The sequence below is a fragment of the Homo sapiens genome, chromosome 8, assembly GCF_000001405.40.
Source record: "Homo sapiens chromosome 8, GRCh38.p14 Primary Assembly".
Classification (NCBI taxonomy): Eukaryota; Metazoa; Chordata; class Mammalia; order Primates; family Hominidae; genus Homo; species Homo sapiens.
The window spans coordinates 58,828,172-58,846,319 of record NC_000008.11 but is presented as its reverse complement, the minus strand read 5'-3'; the positions used below and the strand labels follow the sequence as shown (position 1 = coordinate 58,846,319).

The 18,148-nt window shown below is 37.0% G+C and overlaps 1 protein-coding gene across 1 annotated transcript in view, besides 1 other annotated feature; it reads left to right on the top strand.

Annotated features, from left to right (window-relative positions):
• The window catches only part of TOX (thymocyte selection associated high mobility group box), a 313,736-nt gene that overhangs the window by 272,828 nt on the left and 22,760 nt on the right, over positions 1-18,148 (top strand). Inside the window, exon 5 of the mRNA NM_014729.3 lies at positions 8,009-8,239. Within this exon, the coding sequence (NP_055544.1) occupies positions 8,009-8,239 (231 nt within the window). The remainder of the gene's footprint in view (positions 1-8,008; positions 8,240-18,148) is intronic.
• Positions 3,639-4,838: an enhancer, noted in NCBI's record as "P300/CBP strongly-dependent group 1 enhancer chr8:59754041-59755240 (GRCh37/hg19 assembly coordinates)". NCBI's record gives its function as "activates an origin of replication core promoter dependent on BRD2, BRD4, P300/CBP, MED14 and CDK7 cofactors, with strong dependence on P300/CBP, by STARR-seq in HCT116 cells {active_cell/tissue: HCT116}" and the evidence as "EXISTENCE:reporter gene assay evidence [ECO:0000049][PMID:35650434]".

The window sequence follows — 18,148 nt, the reverse complement described above, 5'->3', positions numbered from 1 at the left end:
ACTTTATATAGTATAATGTGTATGATACTTTTAAAGTATGTATTAGATCACAGCAATTAAACTAATGTATGACCCTTATTTATTTTAAAAAAAAAGTATTCTATTCGTTAAGGCTGAGCCTAATAAACTAGTTCAGGAGAAAATGATAAAATTTAGTCAGCCATTTAGTACCTGGTTCCAAATCATCTTTCCTAAAATTTATTCAAGTAAATAATTATGCCAGGATATAGACATACCCTAGATGACTGAGCATACTTAATTAATTCATGGAATAAAAACAGAATGAGACTTAACATAGCCGCCTAGCATTTTATTCAGCGGGTCCCCACCTCAACAGCTTGCCTTCTTTGTAAGCCTGTAAAAGCCCTCAATCCAAAAGAATAAGAAGTAAACATATTTCCCTACATCAGTGAATTTAGAAAAGATCAAGTGGATCTCCTAAAATTGATAAATTTAACCAGTAGGTGTATAAAATAACAACCAACCTTTTTTCTCTTTAAAAAATCACTTTAAAGTGATTTTTCTGGACATTAGCCCAGACTTCCTATTTCACATAAGGCCGCTGAGTGCCTTTGCTAAACTCATTCAAAAATCATACTCAGCTATGTTTGGCAGAATCAAAGATCCTTAAAAATGAAATTGCTTTACAAACTATGACACTGATACAATGCCCCACACTTGTGAATCATTTCAAAAGTATAGCACTTCATATGCATTTTTCTATAATTGATGTTTTGAGTCATAGAGTGTATCGTTATTAAAGATAATAATAAACCCAATTGTAAAATGAAAGAAGTATTACAGCCTTGCTGATTTCACAGTAACTAGATGACTTACTTTCCATGCTTATTTGAATTTATTCTCATAAGGGGATTTTAGATGGCATAGTTTAGAAAAGAGAGAATGAATTTAAGTAGCAAAATTTTCACTCACTGAAACATCACAAAAAGTGCTGTTATATGCCCTGTTTCTATGGAGAGGAGTTTATAATATTTACTTTATATGATAAGAGTTATAAGTGGAGTTCTATGTTGTTTGTTCAGCCTATTATGCAGATGGTGCTTGATTAAAATCTATTTTAAACTACAGCGATTACTGCAAGATAGTGTGCATTAAACAGCTCTCCCAGCTCCATTAAAGGCTTTGGGACCGCGGCAGTTTATTTTAAATATGCTTATAGACGTTTCTAACTTCTCCAGGGACATTTCAATATCAGTGATTCTCTTTCTTTGATAGTCTTAACTCCTGTGCTCTGGCTTCTTAAGAAATACTGTTATCTAAGCAACACCATTAGCACATGCTTTTTTAAAGTGAAAGATTATTGTTTTCTTGTGATAAATAAGTTAAATACATCTCTATAATTAACCAATAAGACATGACAGGGGTGAATTACCAGAAGCCTTCAGGCACCTCTAGGGATTTGAGAAATAAATCTATGTCTTACGAGTAAGTTACATGAAGCACGTGTATCTGTGTAAAGCTTATGTGTAATATTTATTTATAAATAATATTTATTTAGGTATTTGTGCACTTATGTATTCGTTAGTGCTTTAACTGATGGTGAAATCAGTGCGTGGGTAATCAGGGCGACATTTAGGGCCTCAGCTCAGCCATGTTTTAGTTGCTATGATTTTCATACAATTTCTATGTTTGTTTCAAATTTTCTTTGCCTCATAAGTCTAAGCCTCTGCCCACTGCTGTAGAATACCAGAGCAGAAATGTATAATGATCCATTGCATGTAAAACACTGTACCGATGCTATGAAGGACGTGAAGATTAATGGGACCTGCTCCTTACTTTCAATGTGCTTGTCATCATAAGGAATTCACATTTGTGCATTATATGGTTTCTTCCATATTCTAAAGATTATGATGGAATAAAATTTAACTCTCCAGTCTTAGCACCCTGGTAACTTTACAAATACTGTATGTACTCTAGAGCAGTGTCCAGTACAAAATACTGTGCTGTCTAATCCAGTGACTTCTAGTCATGTGTGACTGCTTCCATTTAAATTTAACCAATTAAAATTAAATTTAGAAATTCAATTGCTCAGTTGTACTAGCCACATTACAAGTGGCCTATAGCCATATGTGGTTAGCAGCTACCCTTTTAGACACGGCAGAGAGCATATCTATCGTTCTAGAAAATTTTACGAGACAGTGCTGCTCTAGACTTTAAAAGTCAAGTACTCTCAGAAAGTTAGGATTTAAAATTATAAGCTTCCATCCATCTATGCAAGAAGTCCGGATCCAGACAATATCCAAAATTAAGGTCCAGGGACAGATTATAAATCCATTTAGCTAATTTTTCTACCACAGTCATATCTATCATCATTGTGTTTATCCCAAATAGTTTGTGGTCATAAGAGCCAAGTATCTTTCAAAGTGCATCCGTTACTGACATGAAAATGGATCCAAATTACAGCAGCATTTCTGTCTTCAAGGAGGCTTTGGACACAACAATGATCATGTGTTTTTCACACATGTGATGAAGCTACTTCCAAAAGTAGGCCTTACAAATTCCCAGTTCATTACACAGAATCTAAAATGGCAGCTCATTTCTGCATCCTTTCCACACAAGAAAAATGAAAAATAAAAAATAAGATCCCCACAGATCAGGGGACAATGCCCAGTGTTCATAAGACAAACAGCTTTATATTTCATAGAGCAAAGCCCAAGTACTTGGGTACATGAGAGATCAAACTACAACAAGGAGTTTCCATTCCATTCTATTGCATTTATAAAGAGCAAAGATATTATGAATATTCACTAGTCCTTTATGCAGGAACATTGAGCAATATAATAAACAATTCCCTCCAAAGTACATTTTATCTCATAAAAAATGGAGATCTTTCATTCATAGTTTTTCCCCCATATGTAAGTCTTCAGTGGAAGTCAGGGCATTGTCTTAGATTATAGTTCAGTTCTACAAGGGCAATTTTATAAATGTTCAGAATATTATGTTCCAAGAATCTAGCTTTGGTGATCTAGTTTAGTTATTGAAGGAGAGGCAGTGAATCTTGAGTAATGAATATTTTATGTGTATCCTTTAGATTGGTCTTCTCAGATGCCAGTTTTCTTGCATGGCAGAAAATTCAAACCAAAGTTAACATGAGTATTTAAAGGGAAGGCATAGTGTGATGTTGACTGAAAGCAGATCAATATGCTCTTGTTTTTAGGCACAACAAAGACAAAGATGATATAATCTTATAAGACTGGCTGGTAGTCTGCTTTAATGGGGGCAACACCATAGCTTTAGAGTCTAGTGCCTCTCAGGTACTCAATCAGATATACAATGGAAGCCCCAGAGTTACACTCTATAATGCATAAATGATGTCTCCTGAGCCTTGAAAATGTGGAGGCAGAAGTCATGAAATACTTGCTTCTATTAAACAAAACTTTGAGCAACATTGCATCCAGCTAGCCCTCCAGGACAAACCAGGAAAATAGGTAAAGCCTTCAGGCAACTAACAAAATGGATTGGCTGCGTGGAATTATTTAGGCTTTTCTATAGGGTTGCTATCCATTGCCTCAAAATGATAACTGGTGGTTTTCATATGATTGAGCCTCTTACTGGCAGTAACAAGTTCTCCTGTTTCTTCAGGACATCCCTAAAAGTAGGGCCTGTTGTCAAATGCAAGAGGATGACTGTCCTCCTACCTGTTATGGCAAGGAATCACACTTCCAGTAGATCTAAAGCCCGTACCATACTGTCCAAATACCAACTTAAAAAGGAGATAAGCATGATGATCAGTGTTTCAAACACAATTTTGGACAATAGAGGAGGGAAATTGTCTTAGTCCATTTTGTGCCGCTGTAACAGAATACCTGAAAGTGGGTAATTTATAAAGAACAGAGATATATTTCTTACAATTCTAGAGGCTCAAGAGGCCCTTGGCGAGAGCCTTCTTGCTGTGTCATCCCATGGTAGAAAGCAGAAGGACAAAGAGCACATGTATGACAGAGAAAGAGAGAGAGAGAAAAAGTTGTCTTTTTTCTGTCTTTTTTGTTCTATCCAGGACCCCAGCCTATTGAAGGATGGCTGGCCACACTGAGGGTCTGTCTTCCCCACGCAGTCTGCTGACTCACCCCAGTCTGCTGACTCACCCCAGTCTCCTGACTCACCCCAGTCTCCTCTGGAAACCACCCTCACAGACACACCCAGAAGTAATATTTCACCAGTTCTCTAGGAATTCCTTAATCCAATCAACTTGACACCTAAAATTAACCATCACAAAAACTATTTAAATAATGTGGGGAAATCTTTTAATAAGAGCATTTAAATTGCATGATAGGAAATTTATCTCTATGATTGACATTTGATTATTTTCCAGAAAGATTGATATAATCTGTAATCATGGAGATTTCAATGTGTCAGATCATTAATTTTTTAATTAAAATTTAAAATGAGTCTAGGTAATATTCCATATGAATAAGCATTCATTTATTTCTGTACTTTGTTCCCAATTTCTCTCAATCGTTGATGAAATATGAGGATTACTCTTTTTGCAGCTTTATTGAGGTATAATTGACAAATAAAATTGTATGTATTTAAAGTGTACAATGTGATGTTTTGATATATGTGTACGTCATGAAATGATTACCACAATAAACTAATTAACCTATCTGTCACCTCACCTAGTCACTTTTTTTAAAATGAGAACGCTTAAAACCTACTCTCTTAACAAATTTCAAGTGTACAACACAGTACTAACTATAGTCATTGTGCTGTATGTTAGATCCCCAGAACTTATTCATCTTATAACTGAAAGTCTGTACCCTTGACCACTCTATCTTTAATATTCTTCATTGTGGACCTTGTTGACTCCTTTTGTCTCCTTTTAAATAAATATTTTATGATTGTGAATGTAAGAGTGGCCATGTTTACAAAATATTATCATTTTGCATTAATATTTTTATTACTACTATAACAAACGTTAAGCATTTACTACGTATCAGGGACCATGATACGTGCTAGTGGGCAAAACCAGGCCCAACCCCTGCCTTCATAGTGCCTACACACGAACAGGAGTAGATCTAACAACCACATACATTATTGTGTAATTACAAGCTTGATACGTGCTATGAATGGAAATATACAGAGCTAAATAAGCTTGACTTAAGTTTGAAATATCTTTGAGACTTGCAAATAGAGATGTCAAATAACAGTTGTTTCTGTGTGTGCAAAACTCAAGGGAAACATGAACTTGACCACCATCCACCCACAAATAGTAATGGAAACCCTGCTTACATGTGAGATTACCTAAGTACACTCACAAGAGAAGGGAGTTTACTGCAAAACAAATCAGGAATCGCTACCAATTAATGGCCAGGTGGAAAAGGATGACCCTAAAATGATTCTGGAAACATCAAGGGCCAGTGAGGTAGGAGTAAAACTCAGAGAGGGTGGTGTCAGGGAACCAGTGGGAGAGAGGGCCCTCACAGTGAGAATCAGGTAAGGGGGAGACTCAAGCATCAAGCATCCACTGGATTCAGCAGTGTGGCCAGTGGAGATCTAATTGAGAGCTAATCGACAGGAAAGCACACGGAAGTAGGTTGCAGAGGCTGCATCAGGCCAGCACAGCCAACCACTTGGAGGAGTTTGGTTGTGAAAAGGAGAAAAATATGGCCATAGGTAGCCTTGGGGCACAGAAAAATTTTGCTTGTTTGTTTTGTCTCTCAAGATATCAAAATGCCAGTTGGAAGAGTTCAGAGGGTGTGACTGAGGCCAGTCTCCCACCCATAGGCATCTGCTTTAATCTGTGTAGGGTAAGACTTGGACATCAGGGTATTAAAAGCTGACCAGGTGACTCTAATGTGCAGCCATGTTTGAGGAGCACCATTCTAGGTCATATATATGCCTATGTGTTTTAATATAGCATTGTTATGCCAGTTTGTCGAATATCAAGCACCAGACATGCTGAGTCTCTGACAGATTTACATGGTGGCCAGTGACTTCACAGGATCACCTCTCTGATCCATCTCAGGGAAGTTATCATCTAGTGTTAATCTACATTAGCTTGTCAACTTGGTTCACAGCATCCTGTCCCCCTGGGGTTCTTTGATCTGCTTCAGTAGACAATTTCAGAATGATATTCTTTTTAATAGGTTTCTCAATAAAGACAAAGACAAAGAAATCACTTAGCTTTTGCTTATCTCTTTTCGGTGCTTAGGTATATCTTTCATACTGATTATAAGGTATCACATATTAATATTAAAGTATTTTCCATCCACCCATTCAGTGAATTATTTTGAAAGTTTATACCTTGTCATAATTGATATTTGAATACGCTTTTAAACTTCTACACATATATAAATATATACCATCTTAGTCATTATAAAATGGCACCATACCTGGTTTTCACTAGAGGAAACAGAGGCCCGGAGAAATTAATTTAACCAAGGTAACAGCTAAAAATAATAAAAAGAAGGCATGAAGCGAGTTCCTCTGAAATCATATCCACAGACCTCTCTGTACATCATGCTTCATCTCCAATGGTGGCAGTTATTTTACACAAATATCCCATCTAGGAATTTGTCTAAATAAGATACATATTACATTATATCTGCAGAGAGAAGGCAACTACAACCACCACAATAGAAGGTGAGGGTACAGAAGCTGCATTGACACTTCGTTAGGGGGCAAGGCATGTGGAAATTGAATCCTTCAGATGCAGCCCTATTTTGTATTCATGTAGACTCATATAATTTTAGAGCCGGAAAGAAATCCTATCCAAAATGCTTTATTTTAGAGGTGGATGAATTGATATCACATCTAGTTAGTAACAAAGATAATATTCAAATGCAGCCATCTTAAATATGTTCAATGTGTTTTTTCCCAGTTGTATCAGAATAACAATTAAAATTATCAAAATATTCATACTTTAGGAACATGGGAGAAAATAGAATCTACTCTTAAATTGAGTAAAAACCTTTTCTAGAACTCTCTAGAATCTAATTTCTGGAGGTGCACTCTCCGATATGGTAGCCATTAGTCATATGTAGCTATTTAAATTTGAACAAAGTTAAAAATTTAGCTCCTGATTAACTCTAGCCACATTTCAAATGCTCACTAGCTTTATATGGTTAGTGGCTGCCATATAGAATAGTGCAAATCGTAGAACTTTTCCATCATTGGAGAAAGTTCCATTGGACAGCACTGATCTAGGGTCTAGACCATACCATTCTTTAAACCATGAGCATTGCTGGGTTTTCCTGGCAGCATTCCGTAGATCTAGGGACAAAGTCAAAAGCCATTTGACTTTATTTATTGGGCATGCTGCCCCCGAGGTTTTAAAGCCATAATTAGAAAGACAAGGATGGCTGGGCACGGTGGCTAACACCTGTAATCCCAGCACTTTGGGAGGCCAAGGCAGGTGGATCACCAGGTCTGGAGATCGAGACCATCCTGGCCAACATGGTGAAAACCCATCTCTACTAAAATACAAAAAATTAGCCAGGTGTGGTGGCGCGCGTCTGTAGTCCCAGCTGTCGGGGAGGCTGAGGCAGGGGAATTGCTTGAACTCGGGAGGCAGAGGTTGCAGTGAGCTGAGATCACGCCACTGCACTCCAGCCTGGCGACAGAGCAAGACTCCATCTCAAAAAAAAAAAAAAAAAAAAAGACAAGGATAACTTCCTTAGAAGAAAACAAGTTAGATTGTTCATCCAATAGTGTTACTACCAGAGAAATCTGCTGTTGACACAGTTACAGTGTAAGAGAAAAAGTTAGGAATGTTAAGGGGTTGTATTTAATAGTGTAATAATATAAAAAGAGCCAACTTTTTTCAAAGCTAGGTGAGTAAAGTTGGGAGTAGGATGAATATGAAGACTACTTGAAATATGCAGTTTCATCTGGGAAAAAAAAATAACAAAACAATGTGTCCCTTAGAAAAGCCTGTGTTTGAGTGATGTGAATGGGTATGTGTCTAAGTCTCAAAGGAAAACAACGATATGTCTTGTCCCCAAATTGTCTCAGTCCCCCTATAATTCTATTTTGATTTCTCTTTCAGATCAATGGTGGAGAGAAGCGGCCTGCCTCTGATATGGGGAAAAAACCAAAAACTCCCAAAAAGAAGAAGAAGAAGGATCCCAATGAGCCCCAGAAGCCTGTGTCTGCCTATGCGTTATTCTTTCGTGATACTCAGGCCGCCATCAAGGGCCAAAATCCAAACGCTACCTTTGGCGAAGTCTCTAAAATTGTGGCTTCAATGTGGGACGGTTTAGGAGAAGAGCAAAAACAGGTAAGGGATTCCCAGTGGAATGGGAATCTACATAAGCTGAGATTGTGCAGTCTGAAGAAATGGCCTCCCAGGGCTTGGGGTAAATTCTTTAGATCCCAGAACAGACGCTGAGAAGGTGTCCCCATCCGAACCAGACTTTCTGAGACGTTCACATAATGTTATGCTCCTTTATTACTCCTCCATAAATAGCATGTTGATTCCTTTGTTTCAAAGTTTATATAGTTTAGTTACTTTTGGAAGCACTTTTACATATCTCAGACAGGATTGCCTTATTCCTTAATGTTGCCAATGTGAACATAAAGACTGAAAAAAAAGTCCTAAAAGTATTTTGAAAACTGTCCACACCTCTTTTCAGCACTTACTATTTACCATTTTGTCATCAAAACCCTCTTTGCTCTTTGCTAAATGAACCTCAAATTCAAGGGTTTCCGCCCCTAGCCATTCCTTAAAGACCGCCAGGGGCTGTTATTCAATCCCCCAAATGTATTTACACCATATTTTTAGGCTGTGTTAAATGGGACCAGATGCCTGGTTTTTTCCTTCTCTCATGTATTGCCCTGGTGTGACTGAGGACCATGCTCAGGGAAGGCCACGTGAGATACCACGGACACAGCATAAATAGCTCAGAAGGTCTTAAAGAGGATTGGAGTCACAGAGTGAGGGTTCAGTGAGAGGATGGAGCCAACCTAAGCAAAGAAGCAATGTTGATCCCACATTTCTAAACCAGGAACTAGATGGCCATGGTCACCATCTAAAAATCTCAGCATCACAAAGAAAAATTTAAAAGCATTTTCATTAAAATAAGTGATTGAAATAACTGTGTAGGTGCAGTTTTAGCCATTGCAGAATACTGAATTGCATTAATGATGAACTAGTCTCATATTTTATTCTTAATTAGAGACACCAATCTTTCCTCATTATGTCCAGGAATTATATAAATACAGAAAAGCCCACACTTATTTATGCATCTAGAAGGATCTATATATTGTGTTTATATTATATATTAACATCTATAAAGTATATAGTGTCTTATAGTTTTAAAAGCACTTTTGCATTATTTATTTGATTTGTTCTACTCAATACTCATAGATATACAGGGAAATTATTACCCAAATTTTGCAGATTACAAAATGGGGCCATATAAATTAAATTCATTCATTTATTCAACAAATATTTGTTGAGCACTTATGTGCCAGGCACTGTTCTGGGCACTGAGGATAGAACAGAGAATAAGACAAACAGACCCCCATTGTGTTGAATAATTTATCTACAGTTACATGCCTGGTACCTAGAATTACCATGAATAAAACTTGTCACTCAACTTACAATGCTTTTCCTAACAAACCCTATGAAATTAATGATGGGGATAATGACAAAACCAGTTGCTAAGGAAACATAGAACTTGCTCTTCCAGGTCCCTCCATTCTCTCTTTTCTGTAAGTCAAAGCTGTCTTCTAGAATCTGAAATCTCTACGTATTTCCCTACGTCCTTTTCAAGATTGCCAGCCTGAAGGAGTGCTGTCCTAGGAAAGCACAGGCCTGCCATATGGAGCTCTGTGTTGCAAGAGTTTTCTTTAAGAACAGGAAACACACCACCAAAACGTTCTCTGTACACTCAATTAAAATACCCACTCACCATAAGAGGGTAGTTGACATTGTATTATGGGATTCTAATCGAAACCTAACATATTGTTGCAGAATTTTAAAGCTAGTTTCTATTCTAACTTGGGTCAGTTTGCTCTCACCCTGCCAAACCTGAGGTGTGGTTCCCAACTGATGTTGGACAATCAGGGTGAATTCTACAGTGACTTGACTTCTCCACTCAGCAGAGCCTCACTGAATGAGAAACTAAGTGTATTCCAACCAGCAATCCCAACCCCCTCCCTGTTCCCTTAATGTCACCTTAATGCCTCCCTGCTCCACCCATGACGCCACATATGAAGACATAGCTCGCTGTCTCCTCCAGTAAGCCCTCTGTGTGTTCTTGAATATGCACCTGGCTTCAGTACCATAAACTTTGTTGCTTTGTGAGACAAAATTTCCTGAAGAAAGCATCCCAAAAGCAATTCCCTTCCCTAGGGATTGGGTACAGCAATTCTTGTTCATCTGAAGACACATGATTCCCCCGTGAAGGCTCAGCCCCTCTTCCCTACCTAAGACTTAGTGACTGAACTAGGAGTATTGTTTCAAGGCTCGTTTGTGCCTCTTTAGTGTCTACTTTGCCAAACTCTTCATTTCTGGAAACATCAATCGCCTGCTCTGCCACTCACCTTACTTCTCTTATCTGTCCTCTGACCCCAGTTACATTTTCCTAATCATTTTCCATATTCAAGAGCAGTGATTTCTAAAGAGGGAGGTCTGCAAAGGCACTCCCTAGCCCACGATTGGTTCTTTACATTGTCAATATTAAAAAATAAATCCCTGTTCTCATGTTTCTGATGGAAAAGAATAATGTTCTTATGATGAAAATCAGATAGTTCCTCAAGGCAGTAAATATCAGGCTGCAGATTTCTTCCCGCTAATTCTATAACACTAAGGCTTTTTATTTTTAATATAGCAAGAGGAGAATATTAAGATAGCATTTTGCATTCATTTTGTCTAACCATCAAAGTTATTTACAGACCCCAAAAATATGAGATTCACTACTCTCAACTGTCATGTTAAAAAGGGAAATCACTCCCATTTTCCCATTCTGGCATTCAGAATCGAGGCTGGTCTCCCTAATGTGGATATAATTACAATTATGTGCAAGGCTTTTTAATTGTATATATATGATGGCAAATATTTTTCTCTTTCTCTTTTGTATGTTTCTCTTTTGTAGGTTTCATATGTTGCCTAGTTTAGTAAGTAACTTGTAATGAGTCTACCTTTGGGTTGTCTCTCAATGAAAATAGGGTTTGGGGGAGCAAATTCATTTTATAAAGGATAAAATTATATAATAGTTGACTTATATAAATCATTTGGTATCATAAAGCAGTTTCTCAATCAAAATCCAGTTGCCAAAACAATTATGCCAAGATTGAGAGAAATAAATTTTTTTATCTTACAAAAGTAAATGTTTTAAAATTTGAACACTTGTTTAAGAGTTACCAAAACAAGGCCTTGGGATGACTAAAACAGTTTTGGTCACTCTAAAATGATTTGTCCCCATGCTGTATGCTCCTTTGACTTCACAGAAGTTCAACATAACCTATCATGTGAACCTAAAAGATGATCTTGCTTAACCAAGAGAGTGAGGCTGCAGATTATGCCTAAAGGTATGGTGTAGGACACACGTTGGATGCAGGCCTGTGCCAGAACCAAGCAGGGAGAGGGTCAAATTAATGAAATCAGACGCTGCTTACAAAAGGGAGCACATTGCACCGGCTGGGCCACCGCTCTGCTGCTCCACAGCAGCCCTTCTCTAGCAGTTTGCTAGAGTCATCGGCAGAGCAAACGTGCCTGCCTGAAATGCACATTTGGGCATCCAGAAAATTTCAGCAAAATATCCCAAAGTGTTATAACAGTAGATTACCACCTGTTCTCTCCCTTTATGTTAACTCATTGTGCCAACATACTATAATATCTCCGTTTCAAGCTTAAATTAATTGTGTTTTGTTCTCATTTAATATTCAAGTTGGGGAACACACATACTGCTATGTATTTTTAAAAGAACGTTCCTGGAGCAGATTCGAGGCAGACTATTAAAATTCAAAATTTTGGACAAATATGCATGTTACAGAACCAACCATGTGATGCTGTTGGCATTGTGTAGGCAGCTGGTTCCGGTGGAAGGCTAAGATTTCATGTGCCACAATTGTTCCAAAATCCTGTTGTCATCATAGCCCACAATTATGAACAGCTACAAATATAAACACAAACTGGGAAAAATGGTCAAAATTATTGATGACTTATTGGGGGCCTCAGAAAATTACAATATTTAAGGAAAAACGGCTATTAGTGAGATTACAATTGCATGTTTTCTTGACAGCCAGAGGGAACATGACTAATAGAGCTGCTGTGTGTTTATATCACATGCTTCCTCATTGTGGAGTATAGGCGGGAGTAAGAAGCCACTGCAGAAGGGCAGATCTTTATTTTCAGAATCCATGGTGAGTGAGAAACAATATGTACTTTGGTTTCTGTGAAGAATCTTTCAAAGAAGAGAAATCAAAAGGAAGCTGAAAGAAGCGATAAAAATCCTCAAGGAACACAAAACCTCCCTTATGAATCATTCCTACCAAAGCCACTGAACAAACTCCACATATCAGAGATCTCCCCATTTTAATACTTTGGAAGATGGTACTGAATCTGGAATGGGAGCAGAATTGTGTTTGGGATTCCAACCGGGGGTTTTAAATGCTAATGACTCGTAAGACAATGGAGAGCCCATTTCAGAAGCATACTAAGTTGTTTAAAATGCACCAGATGGAGAAGGAAATAAAACATAAGTATTGCTGTGATGTTGGTCTCTGCTACTTATCTTTCACGGACTGGAACCTGCAGAGAAAGAAAAATAAGTTAACAATATCACACCCTTTGTATTAGGATCCTAGGAGTTTGAGCAACCCTCAGCATCTTTTTTATGAGGTTCCAGCTAAATTTCCTGTTTACCTCCATTATTTCTGAACTCTCTGATTCTGGTCATTGTAGTGGAGGACCTGGGTTCACAGTGACAATATAGAACAAATAAAACCCTACAAAATAAAAGAGCTCGTCCCGCTTTGAAGCAGAAAGGGTTGGTCCAAAGAGCTATAAAGTGTTCTTGGGTCCTTTTTAGCCACGGCAAGCCGGCTCTTAAGTGAAAAAGGAAAGTCACCTTAAATCAGAACCAGATGTAAATTACTAAATGAACCTTAAGTTCCTAATTGGAGACACAGTCGGGCTGTAAGACATTTAGCAAATTACAAACAAAATGTTCTTGTTTACATTACATTAAATGGCTTTAAAGCTGCAGCCAAAGAGCTAAATAAACATGCTGTTTTGCTAAAAATGGAGTGGAAAGCCTATTCAGAGTTTAGTGTATTCAGGAGAAACCACAGCCCACGGTACCCAGAGTGTATTTTTGTAAATGCTAGCCCTGTCGTGGAAGAGGAGAGTGGATTTACCTAGAGATCCAGAACCTAATGAGCAGATCTCACTTGCAGGGAAACTGTTTGAATACTGTTAACATATGCCTTCTTTCAGGATGCATAATTCATATCCAAGGATATTAGCCATAGCAGTTCAGCTCAATAGCAACACCTCATTATTTTATTCCTCAGTATTTATTCCTATGTTTGACGCCTCGTGAAATTACTGTTAATGTGTTTATATAAGGGCAGATCTGACACAAGTGGGAAGAATGTAATTTCCTACTCATTCTTTCCTGCTGCTGTGTCCTCTTCCCTGGTAGAAGTGGCAAGTGTAAATAGTTAATTTGCTTCAATTATGAGCCTGTCCTGCTAAATTAGAAGCAGCAGGGATATGAAGAGCCAGAATTATACTTATGAGGCAGCTGACAAATCCTCTGAGCCCACAGAATCAAATCATTTCCTCCTCATTGGTGCTCAGACACCCACTACATAATGCTGTTGGGGTTTCTTTTTCCCCTTTATCTTCTGATAAAATTTGGATTTTTATGTCAACAATACTTAAGGTTAACTAAAATCCTGTCGCACTGTAACATTCACACATGTGTTTATCTTGGCCATTTTCTTATAAACATTAAGCATTTTCCCAATTTTTTAAAAACTAGGAGTGAAGGATATGTAAAACAGTTGCTCACTTAAAAACTGTAGAATGTAAGCAAAGTCCGTCCATATTCACACAAATTTGAAACTGAGCAATGAAAATTATTATATGAAATGGTGAGCATACTTGTAAAATTCAGGTATTTATATATATATTACATATATTATATACATATTACATATATTATATATATATTACATATATTACATATATTATATATTACATATATTATATATATTACATATATTATATATATCCACATATACAATTATTGGTATATAAATGTGATTCTTACATGCCTTTATGGGCATAAGCATTTGTTTTACACATATACAAATATTCATACGCTCAGAGACCATGGAAGCAGACGTTTCATTTGAAATTTTCCATGATGTTGGCAGGAAAATAATTTAAACATAATACTCCTTCAAGTCTGTTGTGCTTTATCTATAATTGAAAAACATGTTTGGGTGGATTGTATACCTGTATATCAGTCCACTGTTTCCATTGATGTACATTGTAATTTAGAACATGCAGTTCAGTTTCATCCTTAGCACACATGCTAATGCTGATTCATAGAAGGAGAAACCTGAGACCATGGATTAGATGCTCAATAAATATTTCATGAGCACCTACTATGTTCCAAGCATGCTGGGGCTTCAGCAGTGAACAAAAGAGACCAGGCCTTGCAGTTGTATGTCTTGAGAGAAGAATCAAAAGGAGTTCTCATGGCTAGGACAAACCATTGAGCAAAGAAAGATGGAACATTTGACACCAGACTCATTTTATTCACACCATGGTTTTACCATATACCTGTTCTAATATATTAGGTAAAATAATTACCCATTCTAGTCTGTTTTCTTATCTGCAAAACGGGGATTATCCCATATTCATTATGCCAATGCAACATTTTTATTGAAAGAATTAGAGGTAATATATAGAGTGCATGATCCGCAAAATGCACACAATGGAGGCGTAATTTTTAATGACTTTTTGATTTTAATTTTATAACATCGGTGCCTCACACCACAGTAGGCACATACTGGGCACTCAATAGATTGGTAAGCATAACTGAACAGCATCATACTTTCCTTAGTGACCTTCATTTAATAAATCAACAGATATGTATTTTGTAGCCATTTTTTCAGGCAAGGACCTCGGTTCGGATTCTTACCATTCCAGAAACAGGTCAAACCGGTGTTGCTGAGACCATTTACGTGGGTCAGACAGTCCTCAAAAGGAATCCATAGCAAGATGTTTGTCACATTGTATAATGTTTTCAATCCTCTGAATACCACTTTGTGAAGGCCTTGGAGCCTAAGAAAATGCTGAGCGAGTTATACAAGATGGACATTTAACCATTAAGTTAAATGGACTAAGTTCTATATAAAATATAGATGCACTTGCTCTAACTGACCTAAATAACAACAGCCTTGAAAGAAGCTGAAAATTTTAAATTTCTAAAAAATATTGCAGGGAATTGTGGTTAAATTCTAAATCCTTATGCATTTCTAAGGATTTTCTATAAATATGAAATAGTAGTGGGAAAAACGACATTTGAACTTACCCAGAATGAAGAATGCCTTTAGTTTTTGGATAGAATCCAGAATTGGAAGAATTTTACATTTTTTCTTCTTATTATTGTAAAGACTGTTAAAATAAACTATGACTAGAGATTAACTAAGGGCCAGAGCAGAAAAGAAGGAAGGAAGAAGGAATTAAATGGTATTTATAAGATTTTGCTTTTCTATATGAGCTGGATGGATTGTTTGTTTAGGGAAGAAGCAGAAAGTAAAAGGAAAATGACAGATTGTATGGGAAATTTTTTCTGTTTGAGTTTGTCATATCGTTGATATTGAACTGCTGATTTCAATTAGGGATTATAAGCGTATGAAAACGTGTATATGCTGGTATTTAGAGCATTTCAAAAATGCCTCAGTGAATCACTAGATCATGTGACAGGATTTGGGTTCTCTAGAATTGCTATTTGATGACTATCTACGTATGTTTTAGTTTAGCCATTATATATGTTTTAGTTTAGCCACTGAGATGCAATCCTTAGATGGGATATGGTAGCTTTCTTGGAATAAAAACCACAGCATATAACTTAGTTAGGACAGGATGAACTCAAACGTGTTTAGATGAGTGGGGGAAAATGATAAATGATGTATTATGATTTTTAAATCCTCATCTGGCCAACTTTGTACTTTATTTCAAACAGCTGTGGACCATTTGGAAGCCATTTTGTAACTCAACTAAATACTAATATTTACTGTATGAATCACATACCTTTAAAATATTTGTCTTTCCCTAAGAGTGAGAGACCATTTCTTTCCTAAACTGAACTTTGACATAAATCAGACCCATCCTTGTCAGTTAGAAGGTCTGTGCACTTGCTCATGGCAGTGGTTGTTCATTGCCAAATGCCGTGCTGGGACATCTTTGCTCTCTGCAAGCAGAGGACTTTCTTTATCTATCATTAGAGGCTTTGAAATGTTTTTGAGAGATTTTTTTTTGATAATTTTTAAACATCTTTTTTTAAAGGATTTCCCCTACTTCACCTGCATGTGGAATTTTTATATATCATTATCATTCATTCATAGTTGAGGCCTTTCTTCAGACATTTCCATTAAATATAGAATTCAAGCAACATCCTTGTCCAATTTTAGAAGGTAACATCAGAAAGACATACAGAGTGTACAAAATGGGAGCCATCAGGTAGTTCTCAAAGATTGAGGTGCTAATTACTGTTGAGGAGACTACCTCAGATTTTAATTCTGGTCCAGGCTACTCCCCTTTCAACACAATTACAGGAATCTACCTTCTGAAATGACCCCCCTTTGAATTCTCCCTCTGAACATCTGCAGCTATTCAGGAAAGAGTGTATCCATCAATCCATGTAATGTGACGTGATGAGTTTACTCTTTTCTAAAGTGGTATTTAGGCACTTATGCGATGATCCCACATAGCCAATCATCAATAGCCAATAGGGAGCCATTTGTAGAAAACAGGGGACTCTGCATGCTAGTCAGGTATCCCGTAACAACATCGATTCTGGAGGGAAACCAGGGGCATCTATGCAGCCTGAAACATGTGGAGTTAGCCACCTTTCTTCCCTGGTTGTTAAGCAACAAATTTCAGGAAAGTTAACACTTTGTGTGATGTTAACTGCCAGGAGCTCAACAAAGGGATAGCATCGTAGTCACACTGTTGCTGTTTCAGTAGAAACCAATGAAAGAAAAATGATAGATGCCGTAGTCAGACCATCTGGCAATACTGTCTTATCTGCCACAACTTAGAAAATGCCACTGTGGGCAATGCTATGAACCAAAGTGCATTCTATTTGCCTTTGAAAGCAAAACGCATCCTAGTTAGCTGAATGGGAGTCACTTGGAGTAGCATATTAATAAAAGCATGATAGAAATGCTTAGGGTATACAAAAATGCATTACCATAAAAGACGTATTGACTAAATGTTTGCTTCAAAGTCCTGAATAGGATTTCTATCTGTATGGGAGAAAAACCCTCTTGAAAGTTTTGAGGTATTAAAAGCAAATGTAAACATTGTCAGTTTAAGGTCATTAATTATAAATTATGTCTTTGAGAAGAGCTTTAAGGAAAAACTATAAACAGAAATCTGTCTCTCAAAAAAAAATAAATCAATGAAAAGCAGGAGAGCTGTTTCATGGCTGCACCAAGGCTTACGATATACACAGATCACACTGTTCAAAGGCACTTACTCGACTTTAGCATTTATTTGTTTTCACGTGTGAATTTCCAAAAAAGAATTTGAATTTGACTTCCAATAATTAACTCAGTAAATTTAGAATACTCCTGTGCTTGAACCAAAGGATTTCTTGGCTTTGTGCTTAAAAAAAAAAAACTCTGAAATATAGTTTTTAAAGTTTCTTTAGTTTCATACTTAGGATGATGGCACATTGATTATATGATAATATTGTACTAATTCTTAATTCCTTATTTTACTTGGCTTTTATTAGACCAAAATGCCAAATACAGAAGTCAAGGCTGAAGCCCCCCACTTTAGGAGAAAAATTAGCACATTCATTTCATACAGTCCTGTTATAATTCTGTTGACAAGGTTAGTCATTTGTTTACCTTAAGCAAAATGTTCTGCTTTAATTAAAATATTCATGAATAAACAATATTTCTCACATCTCGAATTTCATAGCTGGCGTTG